The 15,479-nt window shown below is 40.2% G+C and overlaps 1 protein-coding gene across 2 annotated transcripts in view, besides 1 other annotated feature; it reads left to right on the forward strand.

Moving 5' to 3' along the window:
* LHFPL3 (LHFPL tetraspan subfamily member 3) overlaps positions 1–15,479 on the forward strand; it is a 579,959-nt gene that overhangs the window by 195,016 nt on the left and 369,464 nt on the right. The gene's annotated exons all lie outside the window — the stretch shown is intronic.
* Positions 5,776–6,975: an enhancer, noted in NCBI's record as "MED14-independent group 3 enhancer chr7:104169841-104171040 (GRCh37/hg19 assembly coordinates)". NCBI's record gives its function as "activates an origin of replication core promoter dependent on BRD2, BRD4, P300/CBP and CDK7 cofactors, and independent of MED14, by STARR-seq in HCT116 cells {active_cell/tissue: HCT116}" and the evidence as "EXISTENCE:reporter gene assay evidence [ECO:0000049][PMID:35650434]".

The following is a 15,479-nucleotide window of genomic DNA, read 5'->3' on the forward strand; positions in this document are numbered from 1 at the left end:
GTACACATATAGTCACTTAGATATAGAAATACATGATGCATGCACATGCCTCACTAGCCATGTTGAGGTACCCTCCGAAATTGAAATAGATGATCACTCTTCAGTGAATAACTGCAACAGTAACAGCAACACAATAAAAGTCCAAGGAAATCCAGGTTCTTGTTATCTTCCTTTTGATTTAGTAATAGAGTAACAGTGCCTCTAAAATGGTAATCCACCAACCTGGCAATGCTCCTCAGGAAGGTTTAAAATACTCAGATTCATGGTGCTCATCCAAGACTTACTAAAGAAGCATCTCTCAGATTCATCCTAGGAATCAATTATTTAAAAAATTCCTTCAGATGATTCTGATGCCGTCAATTAATCTGTAAACAGGTGTTTAGGAACGATTTATATCAATTAATATAATAGAATCTTGACAGACTTAATAGGATTGCTTTTCTCTTTTGCCCTACACTCCAGCAGTATTATATTTCTGTTAAATAACAATTATTGAGATGTATTTATGGAATTTAGTCACAGTATCTAGCACAGAGGTAGATGATAGGAATGGTGAGAGAAGTTAGACAAGGCAAGAAGGATGGCAGGCCAAGACGCAGGATTGATGGCAAGAGAAGGAAAAGGTAGACATACCCAACACAAAACCTTGGAGCTGAAGCATGGCCTCCAGAAAGAGTCAAACTCTCGGGAAGACAGTCAAGGAAGGCCGGGCAAGGGACTCCAAAGTTAAAGAGATCTTGACCTCGAGAAGCTGAGGCTTAAAGCATGCAACTCATAGGAAGCCACTTTGCTTCCTAATTTTATGGGGGCCAGCAAGTGGACCGGCTGGTACTAACATCAGTGAAACCATCTGCTTATCAATCTATACTTTCCAGTCAGCTTGGAGTGTCTAAAGTACAAACCCTGTATCTATCTCTTCCTTTATCCTCAGGCCTAGCCCAGTGCTTCTCAAGTGTTTGTTGAACTGAACTAGATTGATCCAAGGACTCCTGATAGACTGACTCACAGTATTGTTCGAGTCTTATAAAATCTTATCCACAAAAAAGAAGTGTGATTTAATTTTGGAGCACTAATTACGATGCTACTTTGAATTTTGAATAAAGACCAGGAAAAATGGAAATGCTTTAAGGCTGAATTGTATTTGACCCACAGTCCCTCAGATTTCCTCCAAAATTTACTGGTTCTACATCTCCCCTGTTAATCTCCTACTATTTGTTCTTTTCTATTCTCAAGAATTGGCTAAAAAACAGAACCAAAAAATGGTTTTTATTCATTTTTTTCTGGTTTGGCTTCTGCATTGCTTCAAACCACTGACAAATTATATACACCTAGTATTTCTGTTGTAATGTTGGCTTTCTAGAGATGGGAAATGTGCTGTGACCATATGCGTCGTCGTGGAAATATGAGAAGGTGGTGCTGATTTAACAGCTCCTTTAGCTTGTGTTGGAGTAACAGTTCTCCTTAAAGTAATAGTGGGTGTGTTTGTTTCCCACTCAAGAGTTGAGCTCCTCAATGTGTATCACACATCTTAAATCTCAATATGCTGCTCACTGTTTTAGCTCCAAAAACCACCAATTCAAATCATCTGAAGAGAAACAATTCCTCCACTTTTTAAACTACTCATGTCACTGTGTCTACATGTACTTATTCAACTTATAACGTGACATAATGGCATCAGGCATTGTAAATCTGAAGACTTCAGTATAAATTTGTGTGATAAAATATTCAAGGGGCCTCCTGAGTTTATTATTTTCATGGGTACTGATTTATTCTAGGATAATGCAGATACTTTTGGTTGCAAGTGACAGAAACCCAAGTCAGTTAATTTAAGCAAAAGAAGAATGTATTGGTTCATGTAGCAGAAAAGGCTGCTGAGGTAATTCACAAGATTAAAAGAAGAGCTCAAGGAATTAGGCCTCAGGGACTAGTCCAGAGTAATGATCCTCCAGGTTTCTGTCTTTATCTTCTTGGTTTTTTTGTTTTTTGGGTTTTTTTTTTTTTTTTTTGAGATGGAGTCTCACTCTGTTGCCCAGGCTGGAGTGCAGTGGTGTGATCTTGGCTCACTGCAACCTCCGCCTCCTGGGTTCAAGTGATTCTCCTGCTTCAGCCTGCAGAGTAGCTGGGATTACAAGCGCGTACCTCCACGCCAGGCTAATTTTTGTATTTTTAGTAGAGACAGAGTTTTGCCATGTTGGCCAGGCTGATCTCGAACTCCTGACCTCGTAATTCACCTGCCTTGGCCTCCCAAAGTGCTTGGATTACAGGGGTGAGCTACTGTGCCTGGCCCTTTATCTTCTTTTGACTCTGCTTATCTCTCCTTGGCTTTATCCTATAGGTAGGCACACTCTCCCAACTGAATGAAGAAGGGCACTGCTGGAAGAGCCTTGTTCCCTCCTTCTCTACTTGGCAGCCCCAGTAGAAAGAAAGCTTCTTTCTCCCAGAGTCTATTTATCAATTCAAGAAAAGATTTTGATTGATGTCACATGAGTCCCATTCTCATTCCTTTGATTTGAGTTTCTCACCCCTTATGGTGCATGAAAATTCCCTCAAGTGTTTTTGAAAATTCAGATTTGCAGGAACTACCACCAGAAATTCTAAGTCAACAGTTAGGAAAACCACATGGATTGGGGAAAAGTTGGTTTTCCAAAAGAAAGAGACACTAGCCAAATAAACAAACAAAATATAACCACACAAGAGCCTCATCTAGGACTTGTGATTCCATGAAGATGCCCACAAGCATCTATGTAGCACAGCAGTGATGCTGTGAAAATATAGGGGCTGGCAGAAAAGATGGAGCATTTTGCATAAAAATATCATAGCAATCCAAGCTCTGTAGTTACAAATGGCAAATTCATTAGCTACTTACATGACTTATGCCTTGTCTATGTAAGTAAATAATGGCCAGTGCCAACTTGAAAATGAATTTTTAAAAGCCCACGGCAATCTCCATTGCTGTGACATACCTCTTAGTGACATTAGTTAGGCATTTCTTCAAAATAGTGATGAACAATCATATTGACTTAAGAAATGTTACCCAGACTTTTGTTGATGTTGCAATTCAGACTTTTTGGTGCACTAACAGCAAAGGCTAGGAAACAATCTTGAAATTCTAGAAATGAGTTTGGCTCTGTGAATCTAGCATTAATCACATGAAATTCTTATCAACAGGGACAGACACCCACTCATTCAACAGTTGTTTAGGGTACCTATTAAATGAAAGACCCTATTCCAATAATGAAGAAGATGTTCAAAGTCCCTGCCCATATGGTGCATACACTCTAGTGGGGAGACAGAAAATAAATAAACACATACCTTTGTAATAAAATATCAAATAGTGGTACATGAAGTGAGGGAAATAAAGCTGGGTAAAAGGAATAACAGGGGGTGCTATTTAAACAAAGGGTCAGGGAAGACCATTCCAAGAAGATAAGCCTGGAATGAAGTGAGAGCCACACAGAGGTCTGGAGGATAAGCACAAAGGCAAAGGCCTTGAGGTGAAACCAAGCTTGGTGTGCTCACCCAGTGTTGCTGTAGCAGTAGGTGGCAGTGATAAAGTTGGAGAGTTGGGCAGGGGGCGGATATTGTAGCACCTTGTAGGCTATGTCATGGAACTGTGGCTGCATTCTAGTTGTGGTGAGGAGTAATCCACTGGTGAATTTGGCAAGAGGGGATGGTGAGAGCCACTTTCAAAGTTCTATAAGATCGCCCAGGTTTCTTTGTGCGGCAGGGATGATGTGGCCCAAGTAGGAGCTAAATAATTGAGTAGGAGTTCATGAAAGTGTGTTCTTACGTGGGAGCAGTGGAGGTGGCGAGGTGTGGACAGATTTGGGATAAAATTTGAAGGGCAATGCACTCGATTGGAGACCAAGGGGAACAGAGTTTCTGCAAGAAGAGGGGAGGAACTAGTGTTAAGAATCCCCAGAAATAGGAAGAGTGATGACTGAGAAAAAGCCTTCAAATTGGACAATAGGTCAGTTCTTATGTTTAAGTGGAAAGAAGAATATCGGTAATGATCTGTGAGAAAGGACTAGGTGGAGTGCTAGGGAGGAAGCTGGATAGCAGAGGAGTGAAGGAGGGGGAGGAAGCCCAGGCTACAGACCCAAGAAGGACCCTTTGAAAGTCCTGGCCTCACAATGGCCATGCAGTCCACTTTGCCTTCAGGTATATGTCTGAATGAATACAGAGGGAAATTCACTTCTTTTAAAAAACTTTTTAAGGAATATCCATTTACTACTGTCTCCCCACCCAATAGAGGACAGAAATCAAAACACTGTAACAAGGGCAGAAACTATACTTTTAATATTCAAAAAGTGAGACCATATTTATTTCTATGTAAGTTACAAATCAAAGTTTATGCCTGGTTATCTTTTGGGACATTGATCTCTATCTTCCTCCATCTCTTGGAAATGGGTGTTCCAAATTAATTAAACTCTGAAGAGGGTGCGAGATTCATGTGGAAGGCGAAAAATTAAATTAATAGCTTCTTAGACCCTGTGATACATTTTCCACAAAGGAAACAGAAATAAGTTGCTTTTACATCAGGAATTCTGTTGATTTGATCATTTCAAAGGGATTGTTGTTTTCCTTTTGGGTATAACAGCCACCAGGGGCTTTGTCAACATATTTCAAAGCAGTTGGATGAGTTGCTATGATTGGAAGAAATACACACAAAAATAAAAGGACTTTGGAGTTATGTAAATAGAATCAGTTAACTTCCCCTTGAAGTATAAACAATGTTGTAATAAGGAAATTGAATTTAAATTTGGTGAGAAGTATTTACAGACTTCAATAAGAGGAGCTTTCCTTCTCTTTCTCATCCTTTTCTTTTACCCCAGGCAGATAAGCAATTAAAAAACACCTTCTGTATGCTCAGGACTATGTGATGCATACAGAATGATGGTCCCTGACATCAACAAGGGAAGGGAAGAACTAGTTGAATGAACAAGGCAAACCACCTAAGAATCAATACTAAACCATCTAAGGTATTATAATATATAATTAAGGCTAAATCATGTTCAACAGAAAATGTTTTTAAAATGTTCCAATAATGTGGAATTATTTAGTGTTCCCTGAGAATACCAAGCTTTTTTCAAGACTATGGAAGTCAGTTAAGACTTCCATAGTAATTAAGAGTCATAATTATGTGGATTCTATGCCTCCAAACCACACCTTTTTTGTTTTCTAGAGAATTAAGCTTAAACACCTTAGCTCGACATTGAAGATGTATGGCTAAAGACTCTTTTTGGTGTAAGGGATAGGAAATCCAACTCAAACTGGCTTGAACAGAAAAGGAAATTCTTTAGGTCATATAACCACAGACTAGGACTGGGTCACTTTTATGCATGGCTTGCTCTAGAAACTCAGTTTCTTCTAGATCTCAGTGAAGCCTTTTCCTGCACTGTCTCCAGCCTCAGGCTCTACATGATAGCTCTTGACAGCTCCAGGCTCATAGGACCAGTGGGAGAAGAGCAGGTGCTTCCTTCCCGAGAGGCCCAGGAGATGGCTTATTACCTCTTTTGATTCTGATGGGATCAAATGCCCATCTCTGAACCAATGACTATGGTCAGAAGAATGTGATGCTCTGATTGGCCAGACCTTAGTAACATGGCTTTCCTTAGATATTCTCTTGCTGTCCTCAGGAAAGCAAAACAACAGACACCTCAAACACCAGATTTCTCACAGATAGGCCCTGTATCCTCAGCTTCATCTCTTGCTACTTCTTGTTCTGCCCCCAATGTCTCCATCACGAGGAATTATTTCCAGTTCCCTAAGAAACCTAGGCTCTTTTGAGGGTTATGAGTGCATGACTGTGCCGTTCCCACTGCCTGTAATGCCATTTCTTCTCTTCAGAAAAACTCAATCTCATCATTTAAGACATAGCTCCTGCCTGATCTAAGCTGATGAAGGGTCCTCCATGAAGCGCGATGAGAACGTATGTCAAATATTGGCCATAACACCTGCTTCAGTGAAAGAAATAGTCAGCTGGTTCCCATCTCCCATGTTAAAGTAGTCATCCCTCTTTCTCTACATAAGACAGAAAAATCATGTTGATTAATGGCACAGTTGGATATAGAAACTAATTGAAGGGGTGTCAGGAACCGGGCTGGGCCTGAGAGTAGCATGGTGAGTCAGAACAGGGATGGGCAGTGCCTATGTAGCGCCATTCCAGAAAAGGCTGAATCATCACAGAGGATGGAGGCACTGGGTGGAAGTCCAGAGTCAAAGAGGCCAGGCTGGATGAACCAACAAGGACAAATCTGAGACAGAGATGCAGGTAAAATGAGTCAGGTTCTGAAGGCAGTGTGGATATGGAAAGAGGGGCAAGGATATGCAGGTACCAAGGCTCAGACAAAATTGCTCCATGAGAGAGGATTGCTTCAACTGCTTTTCATCCAAGAATGGGGGCTATGTTGTATTTTTATCATCCTAGCCTAAATTGTCCTTGGTACAACTTCTGTTGGAATGTTAAAAATAGTGTGATGTTTGAGTGAGGCATTGAGATATTTGGAAATAAAAGATGATAGGACTGACTAATCATCAGTATGATTGCAACTCAGAGATTTCTACTTGGATCCTTAATTCTAGATTGAAATCATTTTACATCTGACAGAAAGGAAAACAAGGTAATTCCCACAGACTTCCAGAAGGTAAGATATTGATTCTACTTTTCAGTGACTCAAATATAGCTGAAATCACTTTGTGCTGGAGGCCATGTGGCTCTTTATGGCCACAAATGATAAGCATATGTCCTAGAGAGTGGTTTTCTCCCCAGCAGTTATATTTCCAATACACCCAGGGCCCAGCAAAGCCACAGCTGTAATTGGCAGACTGAGAGTACGGATGGTTGTTTGCTTGTCCTCGTAAAATTGAGCGTGACAAGTCAATGAGGAGTGGAGTTGTGCCTGTTGTAAACACATTTAGAATTCAAGGAAAGCAAAGTGTATATTTGAGAATTTGATTTGTGAAGCTCATAACTATTCATTCATTTCTTAACCATAGTTCGTTAAATTTAACAGTTGTGTGACTCGGAATTCACAGATGACAACTGCAACATATTTTGGGTAATAAATTACTAGCTGCTTTAAGAAACGGAACTGATTTAACAGCGTATTGTGCAGTTGTAATAGAAGCACTAAAATCTGTCTTTCTACCTCCAAGGGTTTATTTTAAAGGTTTAGATTGCAATGATAAACATTCTTTTAATCCTTCACCATGCAAGCAAGTCCACTTTCTGAGGCAGTCATTTACTTGTCTGGTAATAAACAGTAATTTATGTACACGATATCGATTTACACATACACTTTTTCTCCATGGCAGGGGCAAAATGCTCTTCGATTGCTCTAGTGGGAAGTGCTTTACAGTTATCTCATTTCTAAAACAAAAATATTGCCTGTATTTAAAAAATAAATAAAGTTCTGAAAGTTGGAACAGGGCCTGGAATAGTTCCGTTGCAAAGGCTAAGTCAGCATCAAAGGATGCTCACTTAACATTTGCTCCTTGAGCTAAATACCACAAATGGACATTTTTTAATGACAATTATTGCATCTTTTCATTTGATTTTATTTCTATCAACAATGAGTTCTTTTCTTTCCCTCCACAACCCTCTCTTCTTCCCAGAGGTGTCCAGAAAGATCAGCTCACTTCGTCAGCTAAGAGCTGCAGGAAGCAGGAAGACTCCAGTGAAAATATAAGCAGCTCTGGCAAGCTAACAATCACATCTGTTAGCCACTGGATAAAATAAGAGTTGGCAAGGACCGGTGTGTCTGAACTGACTTATTTTCTAGTGGGAGGGGTAAACTTCTGCTGATTAACCACTCAGGATCCTAACTAACTTTCTGGCATGGTGTTTACATGATTATGCCATTGGCCTTGAAATGAGAGTGACTTTTAGGGATACTTCAAAAGGCAATTCTTTTACTGTTCCTGGAACCTAAGACCCCTACAAAGAAAGCCCGGCCCACCTACTGTGTGCAGTCATGTCTTCTAGGACTTCTGCAAGAGTTACTCCCAGGTGTATGACATACACCCAGGTATATGACAAAGGGATCTATATGGGAAATCACTTATATAGTGAGTATGAACAGAGAGCCACAAGCTCAGGAGCACAGTAAATATCATATTTCTTTACTTTTCAGTTAATAATTTCATTCTGACTCTGTGATACACCATGTTTTGGTGGGTTATAACCTCATTCTTCCATGGGGCTCTCCTCCTGGTGGTTTTGTCAAGGTGCTGGGGATCAGGATCTTTAATCTGGCCAGCAGGCACCTATCCCTCCATGATCCCAGCCATGTCATCAGGATGCAGATTGGTGGCTTTGGTTTAACACTGGGCACACGAGAAGCCATGTCAAGGCTGGGTGTTCTGGGCCGTGATTCCTTCTAGGTTCTGCTACTTATTGTTGCTGCCAGGCACTGACTTATAGATCCTGGTGCTCAAAGGACTACACACTTCTTTTCTCTCCTAGCCTAGATAATCTGTTTTTTGCATTTCTTGTTTATTTTTTATTTTTATTTTGAAACTGGGTCTTGCTTTGTCACCCAGGCTGGATGCAGTGCTACAATCATAGCTCACTGTAGCCTCAAAGTCCTGGGCTCAAGCCATCCTCCTGCCTCAGCCTCCTGATTAACTGGAACTAAAGGCATGTGCCACCATGCTTGGCTAATGTTTTTTTTTTCTTTTTTTCTTTTTCTTTCTGTCTTTTTTTTTTTTTTTTTTTTTTGGTTAAAGAACGAATCTAGCTATGTGCCCAGGCTGGTCTCAAAATCCTGGCCTCAAATGATCCTCCTAACTTGGCTTCCCAAAGTGTTGGGGTTATAGGCATGAGCCACTGTGCCCTGCTAATAATCTGTTTTTAATCTTGGAAAATATTCTGTTTATCCATATTTCTATCCAAAGCATGCACATAGACTTCTCTTTCTTCTCCCTCTGACCCTGGGGAATTTACTTTTATGTTGGGGAAATCCTTCTCTCTCTCCATGTTTTCCTCACAAGTACCCCATCTTCCTACACCTCATTACTCTCTGTGGAATTTTGCTTCTGGAAACAAAAGCCAAGAAGGGAAGTTTTTGCAGGCCATCTCTATTTCTTTCTCTGAAGGGGAAAAAATAGAAAATGTAGGGTGAAAATTATACATTACTATCACAAAAATTATCTTAGCATAGACATATACATACATTCTCAAAGGCCTGCCTGGTTAATTTAGTTTTGCACTGGTAAAACAAACAAAAGACACACTAGACAAAAGGATCTGCAAATCTTATGAGTTGAGTAATTTATGAATTTGTCAGAGTGTCCAATGTAGAAGATGAACTATATTCAATTTGGTTTAATGTGTCAAGGAGGAGAGAGTGAAGAGGAGATCACCTTCCCAGAATTCTTCCAAGGGAACTATAGTCGTCATACTTCCACTTGCAAATTATACTACATTTACTCATGGCTATATATAATTCAAGGATTTTTATGGTCATCTTTTATTGATTAGCATCAGCTAAATTCTCTGCATTAAAATGTTTTTTGTAGAGAACTATGTTTACAAACAGAAACAACAGAACTAATGGACATTACCTTGACCTCTGCCAGCACTGGATATGAGTGACCACTCTTTCTGAAACTCTCTTCTCCACTAGATTCCATAGAAGCACTCTGTCATAGTTCTCCTCCTCCTTTCTTATCTTACCTTTTTGAAATTCTTCATGAGGTTTTTTCCTTCATCCACATGGGAGTACTTATCCATTTACAGTTCCCCACTTCCATTCTTTGTCTTCTGTTCCCCTCCCAGGATAATCTCACCTACTCTCAGAGTTTTAGCCACCAGCAATCTGCTAATGACTCACTCATCCCTGCCCAGATCCCTGCTGGACACCTTCATCTGAATGTTCCATAGCACCTCAAACTCAACATGTCCAAAGCAGAATGCTTCAACTTCTCTTCCACTAACCTGTACCCCTCTTTCTGCTCCCTTTCATAATCCACACAGTAATTTCCATCTCTGCTTCTTAATCTTGACCAACTCACCCAGGCACACAAAATCAGTGCCTACACAAGGTAGTTGCTACAGCAGCTCCAGCTTTACTCTCAGCCTTCTGGTTACTGCTCTTGTCCAACTGGTTCAGGGACTCCAGATTTGACTGCACTGTTTGCTTCCATCTCTGCTAGTTTCGTGATCTTTGGTCTCCCTTTTTGCTTCTTGGACTTCTACCTCCCTTTCAATACTTGACTCTCTTCTCTCTCTCTGATGATATTGTCCTATGAGGTCTTGGAAGAAAACTCCCTCAACCACCCAGGCTAACTTTTTAGGCTTCCCTCCGCTGGTAAAGGATGAGACAAACCCCTACGTTCCAGACTGCTTGAGTCCTCACTTTCCTTCACCTCTTCATACCGAGTTAACCACTAAGCCATCAATGAACATGTCCTGCACTCTCCTTATCAACCCTGCTGATGCTGCCTTAAATTAAGCCCTCATCTTCTTTTCCCTGCATTATTCAAACAGCTTCCTAACGGTCTCCAGTCTCCTATTTTGTTCCTCACCTGGCAGCCAGATTATTTGTTCTATAACACAGTGTGGGTCTTTCCTTTGCTTAAAACCCATCAGGAAATATCTGCAACCCTGATCTCTCATCAGAAAAAAATCCGTGAAATGCTTAAAAGACATAGATTTTGGCATCAACTCTAGAGATCATAGCTCAGTGTGTTTGAGACAGGGCTATGACGTCAGAACTCCTGGGGTAACTCTGATGTGCAGCCTCCACAGCATGGCACCCCAGTTCCACTGTGGCATGCTTCTACCCACACTTCCATCTCGGCTCCTGCTTCAGCAGAGCTGGAGGATGTCTCTTACCTTTCGGAATCTTAGGATCCATTACAGTGCTTGATGGTCATTGACATTAACTAGACCACTGCATGATGACAGCAAATATTATCAAAGAACCAGAGGTGTTTTTGAGGTTGTTAAGGGCCCTGGAGCTACAGTTTAAAGAATTCCTATGTAACTGTTCTCACTAATTCAATGTATTCCTTTTCTTAATTCCATATTCAGTGCTATTTCTGTAGAGTACTAGACAAAATAATTTCTCACCCTACTTGGTATTTACACCTTTAAAGTATTTATAGATTGCTTTTATATCCTCACGTAGTCATCACTTAACCAAACAGTATGCATTTTAGTTTTACACTATTACTTTAGAAATTCATCCCTCCATAAAGTGATAGCTTTTCCTGAATTATTCTATTTCTTTATATATTTCTTAAATTGTAGTATTTCTTCTTTGAATAACTAGATAACGAGCCTGTTGAAGATAGCAATTCTGACTTACAATTACGACTTTGCCTTCACTGTTGCCTCTACCATGATTGACACAGAACTGGGCATAAAATATGGGGAGAGGAGGAAAGAGTGGATTTGCCAAGAAGCTGTAGGGACAGAAAGTTCTGAACCCTCTTTCTGTCATGTTTTTGGTCCTCCTAACCCATGTTCCAGCTGTTCATTACTGCTACCACCAGATGTTTTAGGTATACATATTTCTCTGATTGAACTACAAATAAGCTAATTCATTATCCCTCAGTAAGAAAGAAAACCTAGGAGAAAATGGAACACTTGGTATTATTTCACGTCTCTGGAAAAGGATTGCTCACATTATATAACTTGATGAGAATTTGCCAAAACTCCAAATGATACTTCTGTCAGGCAGTGTAAATTGCCATTCTGGATCTCTATTACAAGAAGTTGTATTTGGCTACAATCCAATGAAATGTATCAAAATGCAATTTCCAAGGCATTCAGAACTGTACCCTTCATTTGATTCTGTGCATGCCCACATAGGAGCTGGAAAAATATTCATTAAGTTTCTATAACCAAGTGAAATAACTCAGGACCCACTTCAATAAATCCTTGATAACTCATACACACCCTCCCCACCAAATAACCCCCTCAAGCATCCTGTTCTGTTCTGATGGGGAGTAATCCTTTATCCCAGCAATATTGAAAGGCACAGAACACCTAAATTTCAGGCACAGAAAACTGTGATTTGTTGTTTGGCATATTAGAAACAAAAAAGCCCTGTGCCCGTGGAGGATGTGCATACAGACCAGGCTAGCCTTTGAGAGTTAAGGAACCTGGGAGAATCATTGGCAACCAATGAGACAAGAAAGAAGAGATGCAGAGAGAAAAGAGTAGGGGACATTTAAAATAGCAGCTGTAGAAAGAGTAAGCTTGTGATCAATGTTGGGATGGATGCTACGGGAAAAACAGAAGAGAGAATAGTTACATTGTCAGAGAGTGGGAGCGAGTGCCATCGGCACATACCTCAACGACCTTTGGGACCACCTGTGTGTGCTCATTGGCACAGTCAGTACAGCTCTCCCATCTGGAGTGTGCCATCACTGCCCTACAGCACCACGGGAGGAAGCCGCATTTTCTCCCTGTGACCCATGCCCTCCACACCTGCATCTGTAGCTGTAGCTGCACAGAGGGCAGAGTACACACTTTGTAATTATAAGGGAGAACCAAACTCATATCAAGATGAAATGGCATATAGTTTTTCTCTGTTGAAGAAGGCATGGAAGTATATAGTACATGTCTTAAAGGTTTCTAAGTTTAAAAACATTTAATATAGACCCTCAATAAGAAAAACAGAACAGAAACACATAAAGTCCGTGATGCAACTGGGTGACATCTGTAACTCCAAGCTATGAAAAAATGATCATGGAAAGCAAATGGATGTGAGAGGATGGTGATATCAAATACAGATGAATTCATATATTTACAAATGGTTAGCCCAGCCCACGAGTATTTTGCCTCTACTTTAATACCTAGCATTTCATCCCCAGGCCGATTGGAACATCATTTTCCCCCACGTATGATTTTCCACATCATTACATCAAATCTGCCCCTAAAATAAGAATAAATAATTGGCTTTTTCTCAATATCAATTAAAGTTGTAGTTCTGTTGGAAGAACCTATCGATCTAATCTTCTGTGATCTGATCTTGCTGAAGAAACATGAAATGTAGTTTTTGACCTGAGACTTCCGGAGTGTTTCCCCTCGGGTGTCAGCCTCAAGTTTTCCATTTTAATTTAATTCTTTTACACCAGTAAGATGCTCCTACCATTTAGTTCCCCTCTAGAGCCTTTTTGTTTGTTTCAGAATGGTAAAAAATTAAGCTTGCATTTCCTTTTTACACAGAAGCTCTTCCACTAATTCAAGCCAATACATTTACAATAGAACATGCCAGAAAGTGCCACAAAATTTCAATAACAGGCAACACCACTAGGCTTCAGTGACCACTGATTTCATCCTCCTTCTCCTATATTCTTTCCTATAGTCCTTATACATCAATGTCATGGACTATTTAATCTTCTACCTCGGATTAACCTTTTTTTAGGTTGCAGAAGATGCTTCTGTCACTCAGGATGTAAAGATAAAAAAGAATTTTAACTGCTGAACCCTTGCAGCTTCTTTAATGAGCCTGGCTGATCTTTAACCCAAAAAACTGGTAGTCCATCTGTTGAAGTGGGGCTCACCTCCTGCAAATGGTTGGCTCTCATCACAGAAGGCATTTCAACACCCCATCTCCATCTGGTCACTGCTGCTTGCTAATCTAAAAAGAGACTTGGAGATGTGGGGGAGAGTGACATTTCCAGTTAACAGTAATTATTTCTAAAAACTCTCTGTTTCTTTTCACATTTCCTCCCCCTTCTGACACTTCCATTTCCCATGGAGGACTTTTAGAAAATGAGATTATCAGTAGAATATTTAGACTATTCATAAGAAAGTTATTCTCTTGCTAAACTTCCTCAGTTAGGCAACCTTGGTTTTGTTTTTTGTTTGTTTGTTTTTTACCCCTTCTACTCAATTATTATGGGTTCCAGCCCCTATTATGTTTCTAGGTGCATCACTCATATCTGAAGCACATGTGGTGAAGCAGAGTGATCTCACTAAGCCTGCATCTGACCCACTGCCCATCTTCTCTGGCTGTTTTATCTGTCCTGATAATCAATAAAGAGTAACACATGTAAATTCAAAATGCATCTGTCAATTTTGATTAGCATGGATAAAGTTATTGGGTTCCCTACTTCACAGTCATGAACATTTTGGAACTCAGTCTTACAATAGATGAAGGATTATCATCAATGACAGTGCTTTTGCTAATCTAAATCAGGACAGCACTCTTTCTGTTGTGGTCTCTAATGCAAATGGATGAGGGAAGTTGAAGAGATTGTCTAAAATAACTTATATACAGTCCTGCGCATAAAGAAATGATTACTTTCCATCAAGGTCCTTCTTGGGCAGGTAAAGGCTACTCTGAAGCCAGGGATTGTCTGACCACCTCAACGGGCTATACAGATCATAGTGAATAGAAGTCAAGGCAAGGTTTCTCCTGTGAGGGATGGTTTCTCCTGAGCCATGCTAGAAAAAAAACTCTGAACTTCAGGTTTCAGTTCAGTGGTAATTAGTGATGAATTCTGCCACAAAGACCTTACTTACCATGCACTATTATATTAATTAAGCCTTGAAGTTCTCAATCCATGAATCACCACTGCATAATCAATGCTAAAATTTTAAACAAAAATAGCCCCTTCTATTCCACAATGGCAAATCTGAGCACTGTAACAGCTAAAGGGGAACTTGTGAGAAATGTGTCCTTAGATTAAAGCTCAGGAAGCCTAACCATGAAAGTCCCGAGGTGCTAAAAATACACTGACACTTAGGGATGAGTGTTGGTTGCCTGACTTTGCAGAGCTGAGTTACGAAAGCTAGAGCCCAATATAGAAGAGACTGCCTCTTAGAGGTCTTATGGGGCCATGAATGCTTGTCTTTGAACACACAGCCATACATTCACTGGATGTTGGAGAAAACATCAATACATTTTCAAATATCGTCTGAAAGGTATGTCAGAATAACACGTTTTCCACAGGGTGGCCATCCACTACACAGGGCAGATGTTTGCCATTGTTTTCTTTATCACAACAGTGTTAGAAGGAGGTACTTGCCCAGACATGGGTTAAAATCTTGACTCTTTCATTTATTATTTTTATTATATTAAGTTTCAGATGATGAATAAAGAGTGAGGAATGTAGATTGATAAAGAATAGCAAAAGTGGGTATGGTGGGCAGAATAATAGTCCCTGAAGATGTCCACACCCTATTCTTCAGAACCTGTGAATATGTTAGCTTACGTGGCAAAAGCAACTTTGCACGTGAGATTAAAGCGAGGACCTTAAGATGAGGAAATGTGTTACCCTAGGTTATACAAGTGGGCTCAATCTATTATCATGGGTTCTTAAAATCAGAGAACCTTTCCTGTTGGAGTTCCCAGCCAGAGAGAGATGTGACTGTGGAAGAATGGCCAGACAGTTGCAACATTACTGGTTTTGAAGTTGGAGGAAATTGGCCACAAGTCAAGGAATTAATATGGCCTCTACAAGCTAGGAGAGTAAAAAACCAGATTTTCCCCTAGAGCCTCCAAAAAGTAATACAA

This window comes from Homo sapiens, chromosome 7 (genome assembly GCF_000001405.40).
Source record: "Homo sapiens chromosome 7, GRCh38.p14 Primary Assembly".
Taxonomy (NCBI): domain Eukaryota; kingdom Metazoa; phylum Chordata; class Mammalia; order Primates; family Hominidae; genus Homo; species Homo sapiens.